The 22,732-nt window shown below is 47.0% G+C and overlaps 1 protein-coding gene and 1 long non-coding RNA gene across 8 annotated transcripts in view, besides 7 other annotated features; one reads left to right on the forward strand and one right to left on the reverse strand.

The window, feature by feature from the left end:
* The window catches only part of SLC15A4 (solute carrier family 15 member 4), a 30,765-nt gene extending 21,060 nt beyond the window's left edge, over nucleotides 1-9,705 (reverse strand). For 5 of the 7 annotated variants that reach the window (XR_007063044.1, XR_007063043.1, XR_007063046.1 and 2 more), the window contains exons 1-2: nucleotides 9,145-9,705; nucleotides 522-817 (exon numbers count right to left, since the gene is read on the reverse strand). Coding sequence is in view for 3 of the 7 variants with exons in the window: in NM_145648.4 (NP_663623.1) it covers nucleotides 522-817; nucleotides 9,145-9,690 (842 nt within the window). In the remaining 4 variants the exon portion in view is untranslated. Of the gene's footprint in view, nucleotides 1-521; nucleotides 818-1,124; nucleotides 5,755-8,994 lie in introns of those variants that run through there. The other 2 variants (XR_007063045.1, XM_011537895.2) reach the window with 2 other exon arrangements.
* Nucleotides 3,671-3,750: an enhancer, noted in NCBI's record as "active region_7335". NCBI's record gives its function as "activates an Ori minimal core promoter by ATAC-STARR-seq in GM12878 lymphoblastoid cells {active_cell/tissue: GM12878}" and the evidence as "EXISTENCE:reporter gene assay evidence [ECO:0000049][PMID:35858748]".
* Nucleotides 4,391-4,500: an enhancer, noted in NCBI's record as "active region_7336". NCBI's record gives its function as "activates an Ori minimal core promoter by ATAC-STARR-seq in GM12878 lymphoblastoid cells {active_cell/tissue: GM12878}" and the evidence as "EXISTENCE:reporter gene assay evidence [ECO:0000049][PMID:35858748]".
* Nucleotides 7,716-7,835: an enhancer, noted in NCBI's record as "active region_7337". NCBI's record gives its function as "activates an Ori minimal core promoter by ATAC-STARR-seq in GM12878 lymphoblastoid cells {active_cell/tissue: GM12878}" and the evidence as "EXISTENCE:reporter gene assay evidence [ECO:0000049][PMID:35858748]".
* Nucleotides 7,896-7,975: an enhancer, noted in NCBI's record as "active region_7338". NCBI's record gives its function as "activates an Ori minimal core promoter by ATAC-STARR-seq in GM12878 lymphoblastoid cells {active_cell/tissue: GM12878}" and the evidence as "EXISTENCE:reporter gene assay evidence [ECO:0000049][PMID:35858748]".
* Nucleotides 9,456-9,615: an enhancer, noted in NCBI's record as "active region_7339". NCBI's record gives its function as "activates an Ori minimal core promoter by ATAC-STARR-seq in GM12878 lymphoblastoid cells {active_cell/tissue: GM12878}" and the evidence as "EXISTENCE:reporter gene assay evidence [ECO:0000049][PMID:35858748]".
* On the forward strand, nucleotides 9,691-15,193 carry LOC124903083 (uncharacterized). Its single transcript, XR_007063602.1, has 2 exons — nucleotides 9,691-11,637; nucleotides 13,416-15,193. It is a non-coding gene; the product is annotated as an uncharacterized LOC124903083 (long non-coding RNA).
* Nucleotides 15,518-15,587: an enhancer, noted in NCBI's record as "active region_7340". NCBI's record gives its function as "activates an Ori minimal core promoter by ATAC-STARR-seq in GM12878 lymphoblastoid cells {active_cell/tissue: GM12878}" and the evidence as "EXISTENCE:reporter gene assay evidence [ECO:0000049][PMID:35858748]".
* Nucleotides 16,158-16,267: an enhancer, noted in NCBI's record as "active region_7341". NCBI's record gives its function as "activates an Ori minimal core promoter by ATAC-STARR-seq in GM12878 lymphoblastoid cells {active_cell/tissue: GM12878}" and the evidence as "EXISTENCE:reporter gene assay evidence [ECO:0000049][PMID:35858748]".

Below are 22,732 nucleotides of genomic sequence, written 5' to 3' on the forward strand. Positions count from 1 at the left end.
TGTATGATGGACCTGACCGCCGTATGATGGACCTGACCGCTGTATGATGGAGCCCATGCTGACCTTTAGGTAAGAGGCAGTGGCTTACTTTTTAAAGAGCAGAGACAGGTACTGACAGCATAAGCAACTGCTTAGTTTTTCATTCAAATGTATTTCAAAGCTTTTTAAAATAAAAAGAAACATGTATAAAGCATGTCTTCTGTCTCCTCGATGTCCTCCACAAATTTCTACCTTTATAATCTGGCACCAAAGGAGCTTCCGTCTACACTAGCAGTGAGAGAAAGTGCAACGTGGGGTTAAAGCATGAGCTCTGGAATCAGGCCACTGGCCTGTCTTTAAGATGGGATAATAAGACCGCACCCGCCTCCTTGGGGAAATGCAGTGTTAAAGGAGAGAAGACATGTAAACCACTCAGCCCAGGCCCAGCACACAATAAGCACACAACAAACCGAAGCTAGGATGTTAATAAAGAGATCGATAAAGTCCTTTCAAACAGCCCAAGATGAGAACTAAGTGCTTACCCATTACTCTGGCGCTCTCCACTTCGCTTCTGGGAACAGCAGGAATACGTCAGTATCTTGAACATGTCGGTGAAGGCACTGCCATCAGGAGGCTTGGTGATGAAAACGCTCTGGCCACAGAGGAAGACCACAAAAGCAAGGCCGACGCAGACAGTGGGGATCGCATAACCAGTGACAAAGCTGACGTTCTGCTGAATATAGGCAATGCCACCTAACGACAGGATCGCTCCCAGGTTAATGCTCCAATAAAACCAATTAAAAAATCTCCTAGTGGCTTCCGGACCTCGATCTTTAACCTAAAATAACAGGGAGGAAAGACACTTGAAAATATATGACAGTCTTCAAGGATGAAAACCATATACGGTCAAGTGGTTAAAATTACCGTTGTCATCACAACCTTTAAGAAGCGCAACACAATCAAAATTGTGTTTACAGAAACATTCACGGATCTCAACAAAAAGCACACCCCACGCTTTTAATTACTACAGTTGCTAGGTAGGTTTCACTTAATTACACTAAATTCCAACAAATGCTAGAGAGTTTTTCCAAGTATATTCTGCTGTAGAATTTTCTAAGTACCTGAACCACTTGCCTTGGAATTACCTGGAATGCTCTTTAAAAACAGAGTCCGCTGGGCATGGTGGCTCACGCCTATAATCCTAGCACTTTGGGAGGCTGAGGCGTGTGGATCACTTGAGGTATGGAGTTCGAGACCAGCCTGGCCAACATGGTGAAACACCGTCTCTACTAAAAATACAAAAATTAGCCAGGCATGGTGGTGGGCACCTGTAATCCCAGCTACTTGGGAGGCTGAGGCAGGAGAATCGCTTGAATCCAGGACATGGAGGTTGCAGTGAACCGAGACTGTGCCACTGTACCTGGTTGACAAGAGTGAAACTCCATCTCAAACAAACAAACAAACAAAAAACAAACACAGTCACAGGACCCACGCTCCAGACCTACTGAATCACGGTCTCTGGGGCCCAGGCCCAGGAATCTGCATTTCAAGCAACTTCCCAGGTGACTTCTACTCACAGGTAAGTTTTAGAACCAATGTTATAAAGCTCCATGCCTTACTGAGCTACATGCAAGTACCATGAGGCACCCCACAAATATGCTTAGGCCCCAAAGAGAGACATTTGTTCAGTGAGGCCAAGTCACCACCCACACCAATTGTATCTGGTCTCCTGAGAATCAGAGATCTCAGTAAACTTGAAGCAAAGAGGAAATTATAGACTAAAGATAAAACCACATGCTATTTTTAGATTAGACAGGCTATCAATGGAATCGGAGAAATTCTGATAAGGGTGGGATTTCCAAAAGGCTCAAAAATCACTGACTTCCTGGACTCAAACAAAAGCACTGAGGTAATAACGCAACATCTAGGCTTATGGAGTTCACGAGGCTACTTCAATGGAGCCCAAGCGGTGGGAACAGGTCATTTGGGGGCAGACACACCAGAAGCCTTCTCTGCCCACCTGGATTTTTACGTCTAAATAAGATACTGTGCAAATGAACCCTGTACTAGACAGAGACATTTCTAGTGAGTTTCATTTCATAAATTTATTTTTAACAAACTTATGAGAGGCTGATACTGGATCTCATAAAAAGACTCTCTTGCTGTCTTAAAAACTTCTACTGTCTCATTCTTAAGTCACAGGTTATGAAAGAGTTAGAAAATTCTTATTCTAATAATAGATCTAGTTTCTGGATCCATAGAACAATCTGCTCTACTGAATAACACATTCTCAATGGGGCCAAAACAACCAATTACGGTTGGGCATGGTGGCTCAGGTCTGGAATCCCAGCACTTTGGGAAGCCAGGGCAGGCAGACCGCTTGGGTCTAGGAGTTTGAGAGCAGCCTGGGAACACAGACAGACCCCCATCTCTACAAAAAATTACAAACATCAGCCAGGTGCGGTGGTGTGCGCCTACAGTCCCAGCTACCTGCGAGACTGAGGTGGGAGGATCCCTTGAACTGGGGAGGAGGTGGCAGTGAGCTGTGATGGCACCACTGCACTCCTGCCTAAGCGACAGAGGCCCTGTCTCAAAAGAAAAAAAAAGATATGGTATGTAATAAGCACATGCATCTTTTTAGCAGTCATATATTTGATATGGTATTTTAAACTCTATTTTTTAAAGATTAAATCAGAGGAGTAAAATTTATAGTTAAAATTGTGTGTTCCTCTCTAAAGGAAATAGAGCAAAAGAAAAAAAATTGTGTGCTCCTCAAAAAGAGATTTGTTTGAAGTCCAAATGATTAAGCATGGCCACTATGGTGGCAGGTAATTAATTATATATAGTAACACCACTTCAAACGAAAAATCTAAATTTAAAAGAAAATCACTTATTCTCAAGAGTTTAAACTTTTCTCTTATCTATTACAATACTGAACAGAGGTCCTAGACCAAATGCAGACATCTCTACTGAATAAAGAGTTTGAGGTGAGAACTTCACAGACATCTAAGACACTTCTTCACTAGGACACAATGCATTTAAATATTGCTCAACAGTGGACACCAATTCTCATGCTATACTAGACATGGACCAGGAAGAAAAATGAAAAATGTGAGCAGAGAAATGGTTACTGAGAAAACAAAACTAGAAGTGCGAAAAAATAACAAACAAAAAGTAATTTTTTGACAAGCATAAAAGAGGCCAGTAAACATAGTATATAAACTTAATAGAGGCACAAATGATTTCCTAACTGAAATGTACTCGGACCTTCCCATTACCCACAGTGACACTGCACACACCTTCCCACGGTCTCACTCGGGCCTTCCCGTTACCCACAGTGACACTGCACATATCTTCCCACAGTCTCAGACTTATGTCCTCTTCAGATGAAGCATGAAAATATCAGCATTTGATTACTCTGGGAAAATCCTAACCTTAAAATGCCATTCATCCTCATTTCCTGTGTAATTGTGGTGGTCAATTTATTCCAACTCCAAGAGTAATCCATCAAAATTACTTTATAAGCCAAAATTACTAAGCCCTAAATAACCACACAGCAGGCATTTCTGTACCAAGGGAACCTGGCTGCTGTGAAGGGACATCACATGCTTCCCAGCCCCTGGCGAGCAGGCCACAACCTCCTGCCCATCGTTTGCATGACATCACTGTGTGAGCTGCAGCTACGTGCCCTACCAAGGGTAAACAAGGTTTTCACATGACTGGCCAAAAGATACCACCAAAATCAATTTGGAGAAGAAAAGCTAAAAGAATAGAATTGTGTACAGCATACCAAACAGTTGGCTGACAGAAGAATTCCTTAAAATGGGGTGTCAGTTTTTCCTCTAGAAAAAAAAAAAATGCATCATTTGCTCTTTTCATCTGTAACATAAGATTTTCGTCTTTCAGGTCACTATTTCAAATAATCCATCCACCAAGAACGATTGTGACCTTTGAAAAAGGTGAAACACTGGGGGAAGATACGGCCTGACATGATTTACACGAACATACGTCTCCCTTGGACTCACAGCTCACACATCCTCTTTCAGAAGCCAACTAGGCCTCCTTCTCAAAGCTATGCAGCCTCACCCCATTGTCTCTCCTATCAGAATGTTTCCCAGAGGCTCTACCTGGGAGATGAAGAGGTAAGTGACAAAGAACCATAAAAAGCACCTTAAAAATACAAACAGGTTTCCTCTAAATGAAAAGGACCAAACCAGGACAAATTAACCCTCGCCTGGGGCACAACAGAGTGTACTTCAGGCCTGCACACCTCAGGGTCCCCAGCCAGGCCTCCTGCCATGAAGCAGCCGCACCTGGAGGGGGACCTGCCACCTGGTCACGGGCAAGCACCCTGGCATAAGGGTACTTTTCCCTTCAAATGTTTTTTCACTATGATTCACATACCATAAAATTCACCCTTCAAAAGTGTACAATTCAGTAGTGTCTAGTATATTCAGAGATGTACAGCCATCACTGCCATCCAAGTCCACATTCTCATCACACCAACAGGAACTCCTGTTCCCTTTAAGTCAGTCCCACGCCCCTCTCCTGGCCCGTGGCAACCCTTAATCTACTTCCAGTCTCTGTGGACTCGCCTCTTCCGGGCATTCCACATCAATGGAATCACACAACTGGGGCCTTATGTGTCTGGCTTCCTTCATGCAGCCGAATGTTTTCAAGGCTCATCAGTACTTCATTTCTTTTTTAATGGCTGAAAAATATGCCATTGTATGGATATACTATATTTAGTTTATACATTCATCAGTGAACATTTTCTTATCTTTCATTTAAAAAAATTCCAAATGTATAGAAAAGTTGAATTGCAAAATGCACACCTCTCTACCCTTCACTTGGAGCCTCAGCACTTTTTTCTATACATAAAAAATACTGGCCGAGCGCGGTGGCTCACGCCTGTAATCCCAGAACTTTGGGAGGCCGAGGCAGGTGGATCACCTGAGGTCAGGAGTTCGAGACCAACCTGGCCAACATGGTGAAACCCCGTCTCTATTAAAAATACAAAAATTAGCCAGGCGTGGTGGCTCACACCTGTAGTCCCAGCTACTCAGGAGGCTGAGGCAGGAAAATAGCTTGAACCAGGAGGCAGAGGTTGCAGTGAGCTGAGATCATACCGCTGCACCCCAGCCTGGACAAGAGAATAAGACTTGGTCTTAAAAAAAAATACTTCTGGGTGATCTACATACAAATAAGCTCCAGCAACCAATTTCACCCCCAAAATTTCATCATGAATCTCCTGGAAATAAGGACATTCTTTTAACGGCAGTGAAATTACCACACCTAAGAAAGGCAACATTGGTCCATTATTAGCTAATAGGCGGTCTACAAACTATCCCAAGCATCCAAGAAGAACGGCCATGAAAGCAGCTGGGATCCAATCACTCAGCACGCGCTGCAGGGGGCGGCCAGGTCTCCCGAGTAGCCTTTCATCCACAAGGTCCTCTTTTAACATGACAGCATTACGTCGGAAGAGATCAGGCCAGCTATCTTTCGGAAGAAGGCACATCTCCTTTCAACATCCACATTTAATTATGGATGAAAGAGCGCATATTCTGTCAGATTCATCTGAGATAACCGAGCACCATTTCCTCCTCATTTTAAGAAGTATCAATTACTCGCCTGTTATATCCTGGAGAGCACCAGCTTTTAAGTCAGGCTGCCAGGGCCCCAAACCAGCTCCCCTAGGCACCTGCTGTGCAGCCTTGGGAGCTAACCCTCTAGGCCTCTGTTCCCTGGACAACAGGCTTAACTGCAGCACACACACCAGCAACTGTGGCGAGGCTTAAATAAGATCACGTGGGAAAGGCACAAGTAAGAGGCATAATAGAAGCTTTCCAGTACACCTGTGTGGGGTGGCCAAGTCTTTAAAAGATAGAGGCTGACTGTGCTACCAGCCCCGTTCCTTCATGAGCCAATGGCACCCCAAGGCCAAGAGCCTGGGCCTTGAGATCCAGCCCTGCAGAACCATTACGGAACGCACGCACACTGGGCCCATCTTAGTGTGGTAGCTAAAAAAGAACCAGAGCTGGGATAGAAGTCCAGCTTGACCACTCACTACCTACAGGCAGTAAGAAAGTGATCTGTTTTTGTGCCTGTTTCCTCATCAGTAAAGTGGATCTAAGACTCCTGTGAGGTTCAGATTTCGTCACATATGTAAAGCATACGCCACTGTACAAAAAACCCAGTTCCAATTCAGTACATTAGAAACTATCATTTCTAACGTCATTCTAAGGTGTCTCCTGACTGTAACGGATAGCCTTACACAGGCAGAGTGAAAGCTCACATTCAAAGGACAGGCTTTTGAATCCTGGCTCAGTCACATACAAGCTGTGTAACTTTGGGCCAATGATTAAACCTCTCAAGCCTCAGTTTCCTCATCAGTAAAATGGGCACCGTACGTGTCATGTAGACTAAGTAGTCGTGTAGACATGTAGACATGTAGCATACGTGTCATGTGGACTAACCAGATACTGTACTTAGGTACTTAGCAAGCACTGTGCCTGGTGCACAGTAAGCTCTCAGTAAATGTTCCTAAAAAACAGGCACTCACAGATACTTAGGCAAAAGCCTAAGAGTCGCCTTCCCTACTGCTCACATGCCATGGTTTCCATATCTGACCCTCCAAACCTCATGAAGAAATGTGATCCCCAGTGCTTCTCGTGGGGCCTAGTGTTTGGGTCATGGGGACGGATCCCTGAAGAAAGGCTTGGGGCTGTCACAGGAGTGAACTCTCCTATGAGAGAGGTCGTTTACAAGCCTGGCACCTCCCTCCCCTCTCTCACTTCCTCTAGTGCATGTGATCTCTACACAGCTGGCTCCCATTCACAAGGCCCTCAGCAGTGCAGATGCTGGCGCCCTGCTTCTTGTACAGCCTGCAGAACCCTAAACCAAAGAAACATCTTTCCATTATAGATGACTGAGCCTCAGGTATTCCTACATAGGAACACAAACAGGGAGACAACCTGCCAGTACTTCCTGCCCATTCTACTTCCATAGCTGAACTCCATCCATCCACTTCACCCACCTCCACTGCCTCCACTCTAGTTAGGAGAGACTCCCACCTCATGTCCCTAATGTCACCACTTCCTACACAACCCATTCTCTACAAGCATCCGCACACTTCTGTGAAGGGGCAGGCAGTTCACATTTTGAGTTCTATGAGACATCTCGTCTCCATCACAGTTACTCAATTCTGCCACTGCTTAGTGAAAGCAGCCCCAGTGTAGTGGCTGTGTTGCAGAAACAGGTGGGGCTATGTTCCAATAACGCTTTATTTATGGAGATTGAAATTTGATTTTCATAAAATTTTCACTGGTCACAAATGATCCCGTTTCCGACCACTTAAAAATGTAAGAACTAGCTGGGCGCCGTGGCTCATGCCTGTAACCCCAGCACTTTGGGAGGCCGAGGCAGGCAGATCACAAGGTCAAGAGATCAAGACCATCCTGGCCAACACGGTGAAACCCCGTCTCTACTAGAAATACAAAAGTTAGCTGGGCACAGTGGCGTGCACGTGTAGTCTCAACTACTCAGGAGGCCGAGGCAGGAGAATCGCTTGAACTCAGGAGGTGAAGGTTGCAGTGAGCTGAGATCGCGCCACTGCACTCCAACCTGGCAACAGAGCGAGACTCCGCCTCAAAAAAAAAAAAAAAAAAGAAAGAAAGAAAATATTAAGAACCATTCTTAGCTTGTGAATCCTCAGAAAATAAGAAGCAGACCTGACCTGCTACCCCAGCTGTAGTGCCTGCTCTGCACAAATCACTCCCTGCTGGAACCCAGTAAAGCTCTCGACTGTATCCCCAACGCTTTAACACTCCTCACATGATCCGGCCCCAGCCTTCCACCTCACTTCCCACTTTTTTTTATATTTTCTGAAACGATCTGACTTTGCTATTGCTCTTAAAGGCGGCCTATTCTGCATATAATACTTGGTGGCCACGTCCTTGCCCCTCCTGAAGAGCTGCAGTGGTTCCTCCCTCACTTCTTGGCAGTTACAGTTGCAGGGGAGCAGCTTGATGCTAACTTGATTCAAACTCATTTTCATCTGAGCTTTCCGACCCAACCTAGCCCGTAACTCCTTTAAAGCCACGAAGACGCAATATGAGTGTTTTCCCACTTCTTTGTAAAGGAAGCTAAGGCAACAACGGGGGCTTCCCCTTCCCTCAGCTTCCTGGCCCAGGGCCCTGCACCTGCGAATCCCCATGTCTGGAAAGCTCCTCAAACAACTGCTCTTTCCTAGCCTTCTGGTCTGAACTTACAGGGCCTGAACATAGAAGGGTCCCGTTCATTTATTTTTTATTTATTTATTTATTTTTATTTGGAGACAGAGTCTCGCTCTGTCGCTCAGGCTGGAGGAGTGGAGTGGCGCGATCTCGGCTCATCGCACCTCTGCCTCCCGGGTGCAAGCGATTCTCCTGCCTCAGCCTCCCGACTAGCTGAGAGAACAGGTGCCCGCCACCACGCTCGGCTAATTTTTGTATTTTTAGCCAGGCTGGTCAGGCTGGTCTCGAACTCCTGACCTTAGGTGATCCACCCACCTCGGCCTCCCAAAGTGTTGGGATTACAGGCGTGAGCCACTGCGCTCAGCGTATTTTTTAAATTTTATTTATTTATTTTTTTGAGGTGGGGTCTCACTCTGTTACCCAAGCTAGAGTGCACTGGTGTGACCCTAGCTCACTGCAGCCTCCGAAACTCGTAGGCTCAAGGAATCCTCCTTTCTCTGCTAGGACTACAGGTGTGCGCCTCCACGGAGGGCAAATTTTTAAATTTTGGTAGAGATGAGGTCTCACTGTGTTGCCCAACCTGGTCTCAAAGTCCTGGGCTCAAGAGATCCTCCCGCCTCGGCCTCCCAAAGTGCTGGAATTACAGGCGTGAGCCACCGCGCCCGGCCTCTCTTTTCTTTAAAGCCACTGTGGCCATCACTGTGTGTGTAGACCTCACCCCGCCCCAGGCAAACCCCTTCCAGCACCCATCACACCGGTACCTCCAGTCTTGGCCCACCTGCTGGCGGGATTCCTCGGCACTAGACAGAAGCCCCCCGGGGCAAGGGGCTCCCTCCGCGGTCAGAGGCAGGGACTGGGGCAGGGGAAGAGGCTGGGGCTGGGCAGGGGCTGGACAGGGACAGGGACAGCGCGCGGGGGCGCGGCTCACCTGGTCGGCGCCGAAGGGCGTGATGTTGGCCTTGACGGTGGCCACGCCCAGGCCCACCAGCACCAGCCCCGCGAAGGTGGCCGGTGAGCAGCAGCGGGCGGCGGCGTCGGGACCAGGCGCCGTGCAGTTGAGCAGGCGCGCGGAACCGCAGAGCGCGGCTCGCGTGGCGGGCGCGGCCAGCAGCGGGAAGGCCAGCATGCCCAGCAGGTAGAGCGCCAGGCTCAGCAGGATGGCGCGCGCCCGGCCCAGCCGCGCGTCGGCCAGCCAGCCTCCGAACGGCGAGCCCAGGTAGGTGAGGCCCATGAAGAGCAGCAGCGCCTCGCTGGCCTGCGCGCCCTCCCAGCAGAACGGCGCCCCGTTCAGGAATAGCACCAGGTTGGACGTGATGCCGTAGAAAGCGGCGCGCTCCAGCAGCTCCGTCAGCAGCACGGCCCCGCACGCCGCGCGCCGGCCCGCGAACGCCCCAGCCGCCGCCGCGGCCGCCGCCGCCCGCCGCGCGCCCAGCAGCGGCGCCCGCTCGCCCGCACCGCCCCCAGAGCCCTCCATGCGACGCCGCCAGCTGCCTCGCCCCGCCGCCGGGTCACCTGTCCCAGAACCCAGGGCCGCCGCCCTTCTCGCGAGACTGCCGGGCCTGAGATGTCCCTATTGGGCGGGCTCGCCGCTGCTCAACGCCCCACTCGCCGGAACTTCCGGCCCCGCCCCGGGCACTAGGCGAGGAGGTGGCCGGTATTCTGGATCACTGCGTGTCTTGGGGAGCTTGGGATTCCGCAGCTTGGCGGCCGAGAGCCTTTGTTTGCCTTTTTGAGACAGGGTTTCCCTCTCTCGCCCAGGCTGGAGCGCAGTCATGCGGTTACGCCTCACTGCAGCCTCAGCTTCCCAGGATCAAGCGGCCCTCCCACCTCAGCCTCCCGGGTAGCTGGGACCGCAGGCGCTCGCCGCTGCCTGTGGCTAATTTTTAAACAGTTTTTTGAAATGGGGTCTCGCTTTGTTGCTCAGGTTGGTCTCGAACTCCTGGCATCAAGCGTTCCTCACGTCTCAGCCTCCCATAGTGTTGGAATTACGTGCATGAGCCACTGCAGGCAGTCGGACTAAGGGAGTTTAAACAAAGAAGCCGGAGCCTGGCCCTCTTCGGGCTTCGGTGGGGCCCAGTAGGCAGCCAAAACTCACACTGAGACGGCGGCTGCTCTCCAGGCGGGTTTGCTCAGGCTGCCCCCGTGCTCCCTGCCCTGGGCTTCAGTCCTGGAGAGGACCCGGTTTCTCAACCCGTGCATCGTTGGCACTTTGAGCGACGGGACTGTCCTGTGCGTTGCACGATGTTCAGCAGCAGCTTTGGCCTCTGCTATCCACTAGGGGCCAGTTCCACCCCCTAGCACCTCAGGTTAACAACCGAAAATGTCTTCTAGACTTTGCCGAAGGACTCCTGGGGGCAAATACGCCCCCATTGAGACTCACTGGCTTAGAACAAGGCAAGCTCCAGCCTGTTTCAGGCTTTCCCAGAGACTGCCCCTACACCATCTATGGTTGCATGGCTGGCTTCTCATCCTTCAACCTTCCACCGAAGTGTTGACTTCAGAGAAACATTTTTTTCACTAGCCTGTCCAAGGCCCGAGTATCCCATTCCATCATGTTACTCTTTTCTCCTTATTACCTGTTACATTTTTTAATTTATTCGTTTATCTCCCCAACCTGCATGTGTTAACAGGTGTAAGCTTCCTGATGGCAGGATTCTCTTGTGTTTTGTTCCTCACTGTGCCCCCTGCCTCTGGGACAGCGCCTGGCACATAGTGGAGTGAAAGAGTGCCGCCCAAAAATGGCCCTCAGCATGGCTTCAGAAATTGAGACCCCGGCCTGGGATGGTGGCTCACGTCTACAATCCCAGCACTTTGGGAGGCCGAGGCGGACGGATCACGAGGTCAAGAGATCGATACCATCCTGGCCAACATGGTGAAACCCCGTCTCTACTAAAAATACAAAAATTAGCTGGGCGTGGTGGCAGGCGCCTGTAGTCCCAGCTACTCAGGAGGCTGAGGCAGGAGAATCGCTTGAACCAGGGAGGCAGAGGTTGCAGTGAGCCGAGATTGTGCCACTGCATTCCGGCCTGGTGACAGAGTGAGACTTCGTCTCAAAAAAAAAAAAAAAGACAAAAAAAAAAGAAATTGAGACCCCGGCCTGGGATGATGGCTCACGCCTATAATCTCAGCACTTTGGGAGGCTGAGGCAAGAGGATTGCTTGAGCCCGGGAGGTAGAGGCTGCATTCAGCAGTGAGGGCATCACTGCACTCCAGCCTGGGTGACATAGTGAGACCCTGTCTCAAAAAAAAAAAAAAAAAAAGGCAAGAAAGAAAGGAATCGTGATCCACAGCTGCTGCAATGATTCAATTAGTGTAAGACCACCTCCTCTTCCTTCATCATTCCCTCCAGCTAAGATGAGGGTGGAGCCAGTAGCTGGGAAGTTGGCTTGCCAGTAGGTCATCTGGAGAAGTAATCCTGCCAGTAAGTCTTGAAGTTGCATGCATTCTCTTTTTAAAAAACTTTTTTAAATGTCCGACAGATAGACTGATGGTCAGCACAGTGCTGCCACACAGCAGGCAATATATATTTAATCAATGTCTAAGGAGAGAATAATTGAATGCCCGAATTGGACCTTTGCCACCTGTCTGTTGATGCTTGTCATTTCCAGCTGTCAGCTCAAATATCACTTTCCTAACCCTGCCACACTAGGTTAGCTCCCCGTTTTTATGGCCTTGGAACTCCCTATACTTTTTTCCCACAGCACCGGTTATAATTTATACTTATTTTGTGCAACTATTGAATGCCTGTCTTCAAAGCTGGGATGGCCGGGATCTTTGTTTTAACCACGATTGTAGTTCTAGAGGCTGGCACAGCACTTGCCAATGATAAATAGGTATTAGATTGAACTGGATGAGTGAATGACTGACCATTTGTTGAATGTAAATGATGCAAGTCACCTTATGTTCTCATATATGTGTGTGTATACACATATGTATATCTGTGTGTATATATGTATATATGTGTGTATATAAGTGTGTGTATATGTGTGCATGTATACATGTGTATATATATGTGTCTATACATGTTCAAGGGCATATATTAGTATTTTAACTTATTATTGGATACTAATATATGTCCTTGAACATGTACATATAGACACACACACACACATATGTGCCATTTTTTTTTTTTCTTTTTGAGATGGAGTTTCGCTCTTGTAACCCAGGCTGGAGTGCAGTGGCACAGTGGCTCATGCCTGTAATCTCAGCACTTTGGGAGGCCAAGGCAGGCAGATCACTTGAAGTCAGGAGTTAAAGACCAGCCGGGCCAACATGGTGAAACCCCATCTCTACTAAAATTACAAAAATTAGCCAGGCGGTAGTGTTGCGCACCTGTAATCCCAGCTACTCAAGAGGCTCAGGCAGGAGAATCGCTTGAGCCTGGGAGGTGGAGTTGCAGTGAGCCGAGATCACGCCACTGCACTCCAGCCTGGGTGATAGAGCGAAACTGTCTCAAAATAAAAAATAAAAAAGAAAGCAATAGAACTCAGACTTCAATGAAAGGCTTATATCTAATTATGAGTCCAGTGCTGCTTCCACTTTGCAGTTGGTAGAGGAGACAGAATCTTTGAGTATTTTTTCTAAGACTGATAGGTTTGACGCTCAGGCAAAGTCTAGAGTAAAATTAACATTAAACATGGAATGAAAGCAAAGCAAATGATTTGAATCATGTGATAACCCAGTGTCCAAACAGTGCTCAATACACTCTGCCATTTTTGAATGATAGTAAACTAATCCGATTGCATTGCCTCATTTGAGAAAACTAAAGCTAAGTTTAAAAAAACAAAAAAGTGAGCCAAGACCACATCTGGCAAGATCACATTTATATGCAATGGCCAGAATAGGCAATAGGCAAATCCATACAGACAATGCAGATTAGTACAGTTTCCTGATACTGGGGGAGGGGAGGGGAAGATTGGTGCACATCTCTGTGAATGTACTAAAAAACCACTGAATTCTACAGTTTATATAAGTGAATTATATGGTATGCGAATATGTCTCCATAAAGCTGGTACCAAAAGAAAGTGAACTAATAGTTACAGTTTGAAAGGTTTCACATATAAATTTGGATGCCTTGCTATTTGGGGAAAATAAATGTGAGCTCTGGCAATGCTGGACTTGTGATTACCTGTTACATTAGTATGATCCCATCACTTTGAACCATGCCCCATAGTATTCAAGCCTTTATGTATTCCTCAGAGATCACACCACAGGGCCTGTCCTGTGACCTGTTTTGACCAAGAGAATACATCAAAAGTGTCTCTGGGCCTGGTCTGGGCACAGGCTTAAAGTCTGACACCTTCCACTTTCATGACTGGGGTGTCCGGAGCCATCATATTAGACGTCCACCTGCCTTCCATCATATGTTGAGGAGGAGTCTGCAACTATGTGGAGAGGGGATTCTCAGCATTCCAGATGACCTGCCTACTGAATGCAGCCATGTGAAGACCAGCAGAAGAACCACACAGCTGAGCCTCAACCCAGATAGCAGAATTGTAAACAAATAACATGGTTGTTCTTTTAAGCCACTAAATTCTGGGGCAGTTTATTATGTAGCAACAGGTAATGGAAACACATTTGCTTCCCCCTGTAGCCACAATCTGCTGACACTCAGCAGCAGCCACTGTCTTTAGATGGCAGACACTTTCTAGCTTTCCTAAACCCTCCCCACTCACTATTGTCTTATTTTTGTTATCATAGAGAAAATTCTCCATATCTGCATAGTCCAGCGCAGGAGCCACTAGCTATGTGTGGCTATTGAAACTAGTTAAAATTAAATAAAATGAAAAATTCTGTTCCTCAGTTACACTAGCCATATTGCAAGTGGTTTGTGGCTAGTGGCTACCGTATTGGACAGCATAGTCTATTTCACACCATCATTGCAGTAACTTCTATCAGCAACCCCATTCTTTTTTTTTTTTTTTTTTTTTTTGAGACGGAGTCTTGCTCTGTTGCCCAGGCTAAAGTGCGATAGTGCCATCTCGGCTCACCATTACCTCCACCTCCCAGGTTCAAGTGCTTCTCCCGCCTCAGCCCCCCAAGTAGCTGGGATTACAGGCATCTGCCATCATACCCAGCTAATTTTTATATTTTTTATAGAGGTGGGGTTTTACCATGTTGGCCAGGCTGGTGTTGAACTCCTGAAGTCAGGTGATCTGCCTGCCTTGGCTTCCCAAAGTGCTGGGATTACAGGCTAGAGCCACCACGCCCGGCCAGCAACTCCATTCCGTACTAAAATGTAATGGATATGATTGACTAATTAGCCAACATCCATACTCTTTCTTTTTCCAAACAATCCTGATTCTCTTCACATATTTGTCTTCCTTAACCCACCCCTGTCCCCACCAGCTTCCCATGTAGCTCAGGAGAACCTGACTTCATCCTTGTTCCCAGATAGAACTAGCCCACACCAGTACTAGTCTCATGCCTCTTCATGGTGACCAGTTCAGGAACGCAGACTCTAACCTTTCAGGACACGAAATTTCCCTGGTGCCTGCGGTTACTGACCCAGCAGTGGACAAATGAGGTAAGTTGACCCAGTCAGACTAGAGGCAAGGCCACTTATTGGCTGACTGTGGGCGAGGCACATGCTCCCAAACTGGATGTGAGTTAGGAAACCTGCAGCTCTAATAGCTCCTGATGGCTATTGACAACCATGAGATGAACCAGCTTAGGATGAGACTGACTTGGGGGATGGCACAGGAGACTCAGGGAGAAGTGAGATAATAAGTCTTAACATTGTTTAAGCCACTGTGTTGGGTTTTCTGTTATTTGTATTACTTGTGGCCCCAAGCCACCTATCATAATTCTATCAAAAATGGAAAAAATAAAAGAACTGGAAGGCTAGGGCAGGAGAATTGCTTGAACCCAGGAGGCAGAGGTTGCAGAGAGCCGAGATCGCACCACTGCATTCAGCATGGGCGACAGGGTGAGACTCCGTCTCAAAAAATAAAAAATAAAAAAATTAAGGAACAAGAGAGGCCAGCCTGATTTTTTTCTCATGCCTGACCCATGAGTTTTCTGCTGGGCTTCTGTAATGATTGGGTTTGCAGCCCCTGTACTGAGCCCCCAGTGATGGTATAGCTAAAGAATTGATGTAAGGTGATTCCTCCCACTTTATTGGATATGCTCGCAATATACTTCTGCCCCAAAAAGTGATCCTATGAGTCTCTCCTTTGCAGCTAAAATTAATAAATGACCCAACCCATACAGTAGGCATCTAAGGGATAGGTAACCGTGTCTTCCAAAATAACATTTTTGTCTATTGGCTCTTCACCTCAAGGGCCCTCTAGAAAAGGGGCAAGGACACTCTTTGCAAAGGTGCCTGTGGTGTGGACTAGACTTGGAAACACAGGGTTCTCCCTTCTCTGGTACCACTTTGTCTCCTGAGCCTCACCCAGTGCAGAGCTCGAGTGGGTGTGATTTAAGGCAGTGAACTGAGAAACCGTCACAGACAGGACATTCAGGGGACTGCCTGACTCCTCTGGCTGTTTCATGACATTTCTGCCGTAGTTTCACATCTCTGTTGAGTTGCTCACTCCTCACCGCCAGACAGTTGCCTCTCCTTACTGACAGTTTCAGCTTCCTCAAAACTTCGGGTTAGAAGCAGCTGTCATAGCCTTTCTGTGCCATCTGTACATCACTAACTCACTCAACAAACAACTGTTGAACACCTGCCCCCTGAGTCATGACAGCTCAGCCTCAGCTCAGCTCAGCCTCAGCACTCACGGCCAGTGCTTCAGCTTCTCCAATTTCCCAGATCCCTAGGGAGGGACTCGGATAGGCCCCCTCACCTTTGTGCATCAGGCCATAGCATAAGTCATTAGCCATAGTACAGCCACAGGCCATGCCACACATCTTTTGAATCTCCTTGGGTACAGAGAGTTGCCATAAATTCTATTTACTTCAAGGAGTCACTGTTGCAACCACTCTTTCTGGCTACAAATACTCTTGATAGAAGCAGAAGGTATAAAAAGTGAAATCAATAAAAACACAGGCAACCAACGGAATAGAATCAGGTGTTAAATCCTTGATCCTAAACCAAAGCCACACTAATCTACTTTTAGTATGAACTAATTCAGCTCCCAGAATGACTTGCATTTATTTTAACAGAGGATGTGAGAGTGTACGGTCAGGAAGCTGATTTTGATTTGACTTGTTTCAGGCACTCATTTTATTTGACCCTTGCGAGTAGCAACGTCTGTTTCTTGCGTACTTTTCCACCTGTGTTTAAAAAACCCCCAAGACGTGCAAAAGTTGGGCTTCGCCAATAGAAGCAGGGAGGTGAAGAGAGAGAGAGAGAGTAAGTGAAAGAAAATGAACTTCTGCTTCCTTCTATTGCAAGAAGCGCAAGATGGTGTGACCACACCTAAGATCCTATTTTAACCACCACTTTCACAATTCCTTGTAAGCAACCTTAGCCTAAACTGTAATCATATAATAGTTCGTTGGTAATTATAAGTGTATTTGTTTTCTAGATTAGGCCTTACAGGAAAGATCAAGGAAGATGAATACAAAGAACAAGAACAGAAGCACTAATACAAAATAACTGATTGTATGAAGTGAAATCAGCCAGGCACAGAGAGATACATACCATGTGCTCTCACTCATATATAGAAGCTAAAAAAGTTGATCTCATAGAAGTACATGTTTCAAAATCCTACCTTATGCCCCATAATTATGAACAATTATTATATCAATTAAAAATAATGAGGCCAGGCGTGGTGGCTCACGTCTGTAATCCCAGCACTTTGGGAGACCAAGGCCAGTAGATCACCTGAGGTCAGGAGTTTACGACCAGCCTGGACAACGTGGTGAAACCCTGTCTCTACTAAAAATATAAAAAATTAGCCAGGCGTGGTGGCGGGTGCCTGTAATCCCAGCTACTCCGGAGGCTGAGGCAGGAGAATCTCTTGAACCCGGGAGGCCAAGGTTGCAGTAAGCCGTCATTGCACTATTGCACCCCAGTCTGGGCAACAAGAGTGCAACTCAGTCTCAAAAATAATAATAATAATAATGAAAGGCTGCCTGGTATGGTGGCTCATGCCTATAATCCCAGCACTTTGGAAGGCCAAGCTGGGCAGATCACTTGAGGTCAGGAGTTCCAGACCAGCCTGACCAAAGTGGTGAAAGCCTGTCTCTATGAAAAATACAAAACTCAGCCGGGCATGGTGGCAGGTGCTTGTAATCCCAGCTACTGAGTAGGCTGAGGCCGGAGAAATGCTTGAACCTGTGGAGGTTGCAGTGAGCTGAGATTGTGCCACTGCACTACAGCCTGGGCAAGAGAGCAAGACTCCATCTCAAATAAATAAATAAATAATAATAATAAAAGCAAAAAAGAAAAATCTCAGTGTATGATAATAAAGGGATCTGGTCGGGTGCAGTGGCTCATGCCTGTAATCCCAACACTTTGGGAGGCCGAGGCAGGCAGATCACCTGAGGTCAGGAATTTGAGACCAGCTTGGCCAACATGGTGAAACCCAACCTCTGCTAAAAATACAAAAATTAGCCTGGCATGGTAACGCAAGCCTGTAATCCCAGCTACTATTCAGGAGGCTGAGGTGAGAGAATCATTTGAACTCGGGAGGCAGAGGTTGCAGTGAGCCAAGATCACGCCACTGCACTCTAGCCTGGGCAACCGAGCAAGACTCCATCTCCAAAAAAAAAAAGGTGGGGCCGGGTGCTGTGGCTCACGCCTGTAATCCCAGCACTTTGGGAGGCCGAGACGGGCAGATCAGGAGGCCAGGAGATCGAGGCCATCCTGGCTAACACGGTGAAACCCCGTATCTACTAAAAATACTAAAAATTAGCCGGGCGTGGTGGTGGGCGCCTGTAGTCCCAGCTACTGGGGAGGCTGAGGCAGGAGAATGGCATGAACCCTGGAGGCCGAACTTGCAGTGAGCCAAAATTGCGCCACTGCACCCCAGCCTGGGCGACAGAGCGAGATTCCATCTCAAAAAAAAAAAAAAAAAAAAAAAAGAATCAGTAATTCATCAATTCATGGGGAAAGGATGGATTGTTAAACAAATTATGTTGGAATGAATGTTGAAACATAGGGGAAAACAGTCTTCATATTTTGCACCAACATAAATTTCAGATGGATTAAATATTAAGAAACCAAAACTATAAAAGCACTAGGAGAAAATATTGGCAAATAGATAATCGAGAGAAAATGCCTTCCTAAGCCTAACACTAAAGGCAGAAGGCATGCAGTAAAAAATTAGTTTGACTACATGAAGATTTAAAACTTATGTGTATAAAAAATAATAATTGCTGTTGAGAGCACACAAACTAAGAAAAAAATTGAAGTACATAAGACAATGTTCTTTTTTTTTTTTTGAGACAGAGTCTTGCCACCCATTCTATAAACTCTGTTTTCAGCAGAACTTTTTATATCTCCATATTCCTGAGTCCTATTTATCCTATTATAAGTATGTACAGAATGACAATCTTTCTATAATATGCCTTTATTTTATTTTATTTATTTAATTTTATTTTTGAGATGGAGTCTTGCTCTGCCACCCAGGCTGGAGTGCAGTGGCGCAATCTCGGCTCGCTGCAACCTCTACCTCCCGGGTTCAAGTGATTCTCCTGCCTCAGCCTCCCAAAAGTTAATGTTCTTATTTTATAAAGAGTTATAAAGAATATTATGGGCCGGGCGCGGTGGCTCACACCTTTGGGAGGCCGAGGCGGGCGGATCACGAGGTCAGGAGATCGAGACCATCCTGACTAACATGGTGAAACCCCGCCTCTACTAAAAATACAAAAAATTAGCCGGGCATGGTGGCGGGTGCCTGTAGTCCCAACAACTCAGGAGGCTGAGGCAGGAGAATGGCGTGAACCTGGGAGGTGGAGCTTGCAGTGAGCTGAGATTGTGCCACTGCACTCCAGCCTGGGTGACAGAGCAAGACTCCGTCTCAAAATAAATAAATAAATAAATATAAATAAATAAATAAATAAATAAATAAAGAAAGAATATTATCAAAGGATAAACACCCAACACATAAAATTGGCACAGTGAGTGGCCAGGCTCTTTAGAGGATAGCTATTGTTGGGTCCTATTCAGCATCCATTCTCCCTTCTGGTAACTGCACCTTGATTTTCCTTAACTAATCAATGCTCGCTGTGATTTAGGTCTGGCGGCTGTGATTTAGGTCTGGCGGCTTGACCCCTCCAGTCCAAGAGTGGGCAGTTGACCTATGCCTATCCAATTAGCAGTATCCCATCTATTGAGCTAAAGTACTTGGTTCAGGCCGGGCACGGTGGCTCACGCTTGTAATCCCAGCACTTTCGGAGGCCGAGGCAGGCAGATCACCTGAGGTCAGGAGTTCGAGACCAGCGTGGCCAACATGGTAAAACCCCGTCTCTACTAAAAATATAAAAATTAGCCGGCCACGGTGGCACGCGCCTGTAATCCCAGCTACCTGAGAGACTGAGGCAGGAGAATCGCTTGAACGCTGGAGGCGGAGGTTGCAGTAAGCCGAGTTCATGCCACTGCACTCCAGCCTGGGCAACAGAGTGAGATTCTGTCTCAAAAAAATAAATGAATAAACAAAAATAAAGTATTGATTCACAGATGGACATGTGATCCTAGTTGGTCAAAGCTAATCCCAGAATTTACTCTCGAATGAGCAGGAAGAAGTGATTCTCTTTTCTGTTGAGTTTGAGATCATGGAAATATAAGCTTGGAGTTGCCAGAGGCCATCTTGTGAAACCAGAGAAGTAAGCATCCCAGAAGGAGATAGAGATGAGAGAGACACTTGTTTGAAAAAGACAGTTTAAATCCCAGAATTTTGGAGGCTGAGGCAGGTGGGGATCACCTGAGGTCAGGAGTTCAAGACCAACCTAGCCAACATGGTGAAACCCCGTCTCTACTAAAATACAAAAATTAGCCAGGCTAATTGTGGGGTCTGCCTGTAGTCTCAACCACTTGAGAGGCTGAAGCAGGAGAATCGCTTGAACCCGGGAGGTAAAGGTTGCAGTGAGCTGAGATGGTGCCAGTGTGCTCCAACCTGGACAACAGAGCAAAAGAAAAAAAAAAAAAGAAAAAAGGACTGTTTATAGATCTTGGTTCTGATCATAGCTAAAAGTAGCTTTTTCTTTAAAATTAGACATTTTAATTGTGAGTCCATAAATTCTCCTTTTGGTTAAGCAAATGTGACATTCTGTCAATTGCAATAGAAAAAGTCCCAACCAGCTTTGTACAAAAATCAAATCAAAATGGATTAAAGACTTAAATCTAAGACCTAAAACTCTGAAGCTATGACAAGAAAACACTGGGGAGGGCCAGGCGCGGTGGCTTACGCCTGTAATCCCAGCAGTATGGGAGGCTGAGGCGGCACATCACCTAAGTTCGGGAGTTCAAGACCAGCCTGACCAACATGGAGAAACCTCGTCTCTACTAAAAATACAAAATTAGCCGGGCGTGGTGGCGCATGCCTGTAATCCCAGCTGCTTGGGAGGCTGAGGCAAGAGAATCGCTTGGACCCGGGAGGCAGAGGTTGCGGTGAACCGAGATCACACCATTGTACTCCAGCCTGGGCAACAAGAGCGAAACTCCATCTCAAAAAAAAAGAAAAGAAAAGACAGGACAGGCCAGGTGTGGTGGCTCATGCCTATAATCCCAGCACTTTGGGAGGCTGAGGCGGGCGAATCACTTGAGGTCAGAAGTTCGAGACCAGCCTGGCCAACATGGTGAAACCCCATCTCTACTAATACAAAAATTAGCTGGCCATGGTGGCGGGTGCCTGTAATCCCAGCTACTCCGGAGGTTTAGGCAAGAGAATCTCTTGAACCCTGGAGGCAGAGACTGCAGTGAACCAAGATCGCACCACTGCACTCCAATCTAGGGGACAGAGGGAGACTCTGTCTCAAAAACAAAACAGAACAAATACCAAAAGTGGGGGGAACGCTCCAGGACATTGGTCAGGGCAACGATTTCTTGAGTAAAACTCCACCACAGGCAAAGGCAACCAAAGCAAAAATAGACACATGGGATGACATCAAATTAAAAGCCTTCTTCCCAGAAAAGGAAACAATCAACAAAGTGAAGAGACAACCCACAGAATGGGAGAAAATATTTACAAACCACCCATCTGACAAGAGATTAATAACCAGAATATATAAACAACGCAAATGACTCAATAGGAAAAATTCTAATAATCCCATTTTTAAAATGGGCAAAAGATCTGAATAGACACTTCTCAAGAGAAGACACACAAATGGCGAAGAGGTTACAAAAAGGTGCCCAACATCATCGATCCTCAGAGAACTGCAAATCAAAACTACAATGAGGCCGGGTGTGGTAGCTCATGCCTGTAATCCTGGCACTTTGGGAGGCGGATGCAGCCAGATCACTTGAGGTCAGGAGTTTGAGACCAGCCTGGCCAACATGGCGAAACCCCGTCTCTACTAAAAATACAAAAATTAGCTGGCCGTGGTGGCAGGCGCCTGTCATTTTAGCCACTCAGGTGGCTGAGGTGGGAGGATCGATTGAACCTGGGAGACCGAGGTTGTAGTGAGTTGAGATCGTGCCACTGCACTCCAGCCTGGGCGACAGAGTGAGACCCTGTCTCAAACAAAACAAAACTACAATGAGATATCATCTCACCCTAGTTAAAATGGCTTTCATCTTGGCCAGCGCAGTGGCTCACACCTGTAATCACAGCACTTTGGGAGGCCGAGGTGGGTAGATCACGAGGTCAGGAGTTCGAGAGCAGCCTGGCCAATTGTTGGGAACAAGCCCCCCAAAATCTGGCCATAAACTGGCCCCAAAACTGGCCATAAACAAAATCTCTGCAGCACTGTAACATGTTCTCAATGGCCCTAACGCCCACGCTGGAAGGTTGTGGGTTTATGGGAATGAGGGCAAGGAAAACCTGGCCCGCCCAGGGCAGAAAACCGCTTAAAGGCATTCTTAAGCCACAAACAATAGGATGAGCGATCTGTGCCTTAAGAACGTGCTCCTGCTGCAGTCAACTAGCCTAACCTATTCCTTTAATTCGGCCCATCCCTTCGTTTCCCATAAGGGATACTTTTAGTGAATTTAATATCTATAGAAACAATGCTAATGGCTGGCTTGCTGTTAATAAATACGTGGGTAAATGTCTGTTCGAGGCTCTCAGCTCTGAAGGCTGTGAGACCCCTGATTTCCCACTTCACACCTCTACATGCCTGTGTGTGTGTCTTTAATTCCTCTAGTGCTGCTGGGTTAGGGTCTCCCCAACCAAGCTGGTCTCGGCAGCCAATATGGTGAAACTCCGTCTCTACTAAAAAAAAAAAAAAAAAATTAGCTGGGTGTGGTGGAGCACGCCTGTAGTCCCAGCTACTCAGGAGGCTGAGGCAGGAGAATCGCTTGAACCCGGGAGGTGGAGGTTGCAGTGAGCTGAGATCACGCCACTGTATTCCAGCCTGGGTGACAGAGTGAGACTCCTTCTTGAAAAAAAAATTTCTTTTATCCAAAAGTCAGGCAATAACAAATGCTGGTGAGAATGTGGAGGAAAAGAAACCCTTGTATG

Source organism: Homo sapiens, chromosome 12 (genome assembly GCF_000001405.40).
Source record: "Homo sapiens chromosome 12, GRCh38.p14 Primary Assembly".
In the NCBI taxonomy this organism is placed as follows: domain Eukaryota; kingdom Metazoa; phylum Chordata; class Mammalia; order Primates; family Hominidae; genus Homo; species Homo sapiens.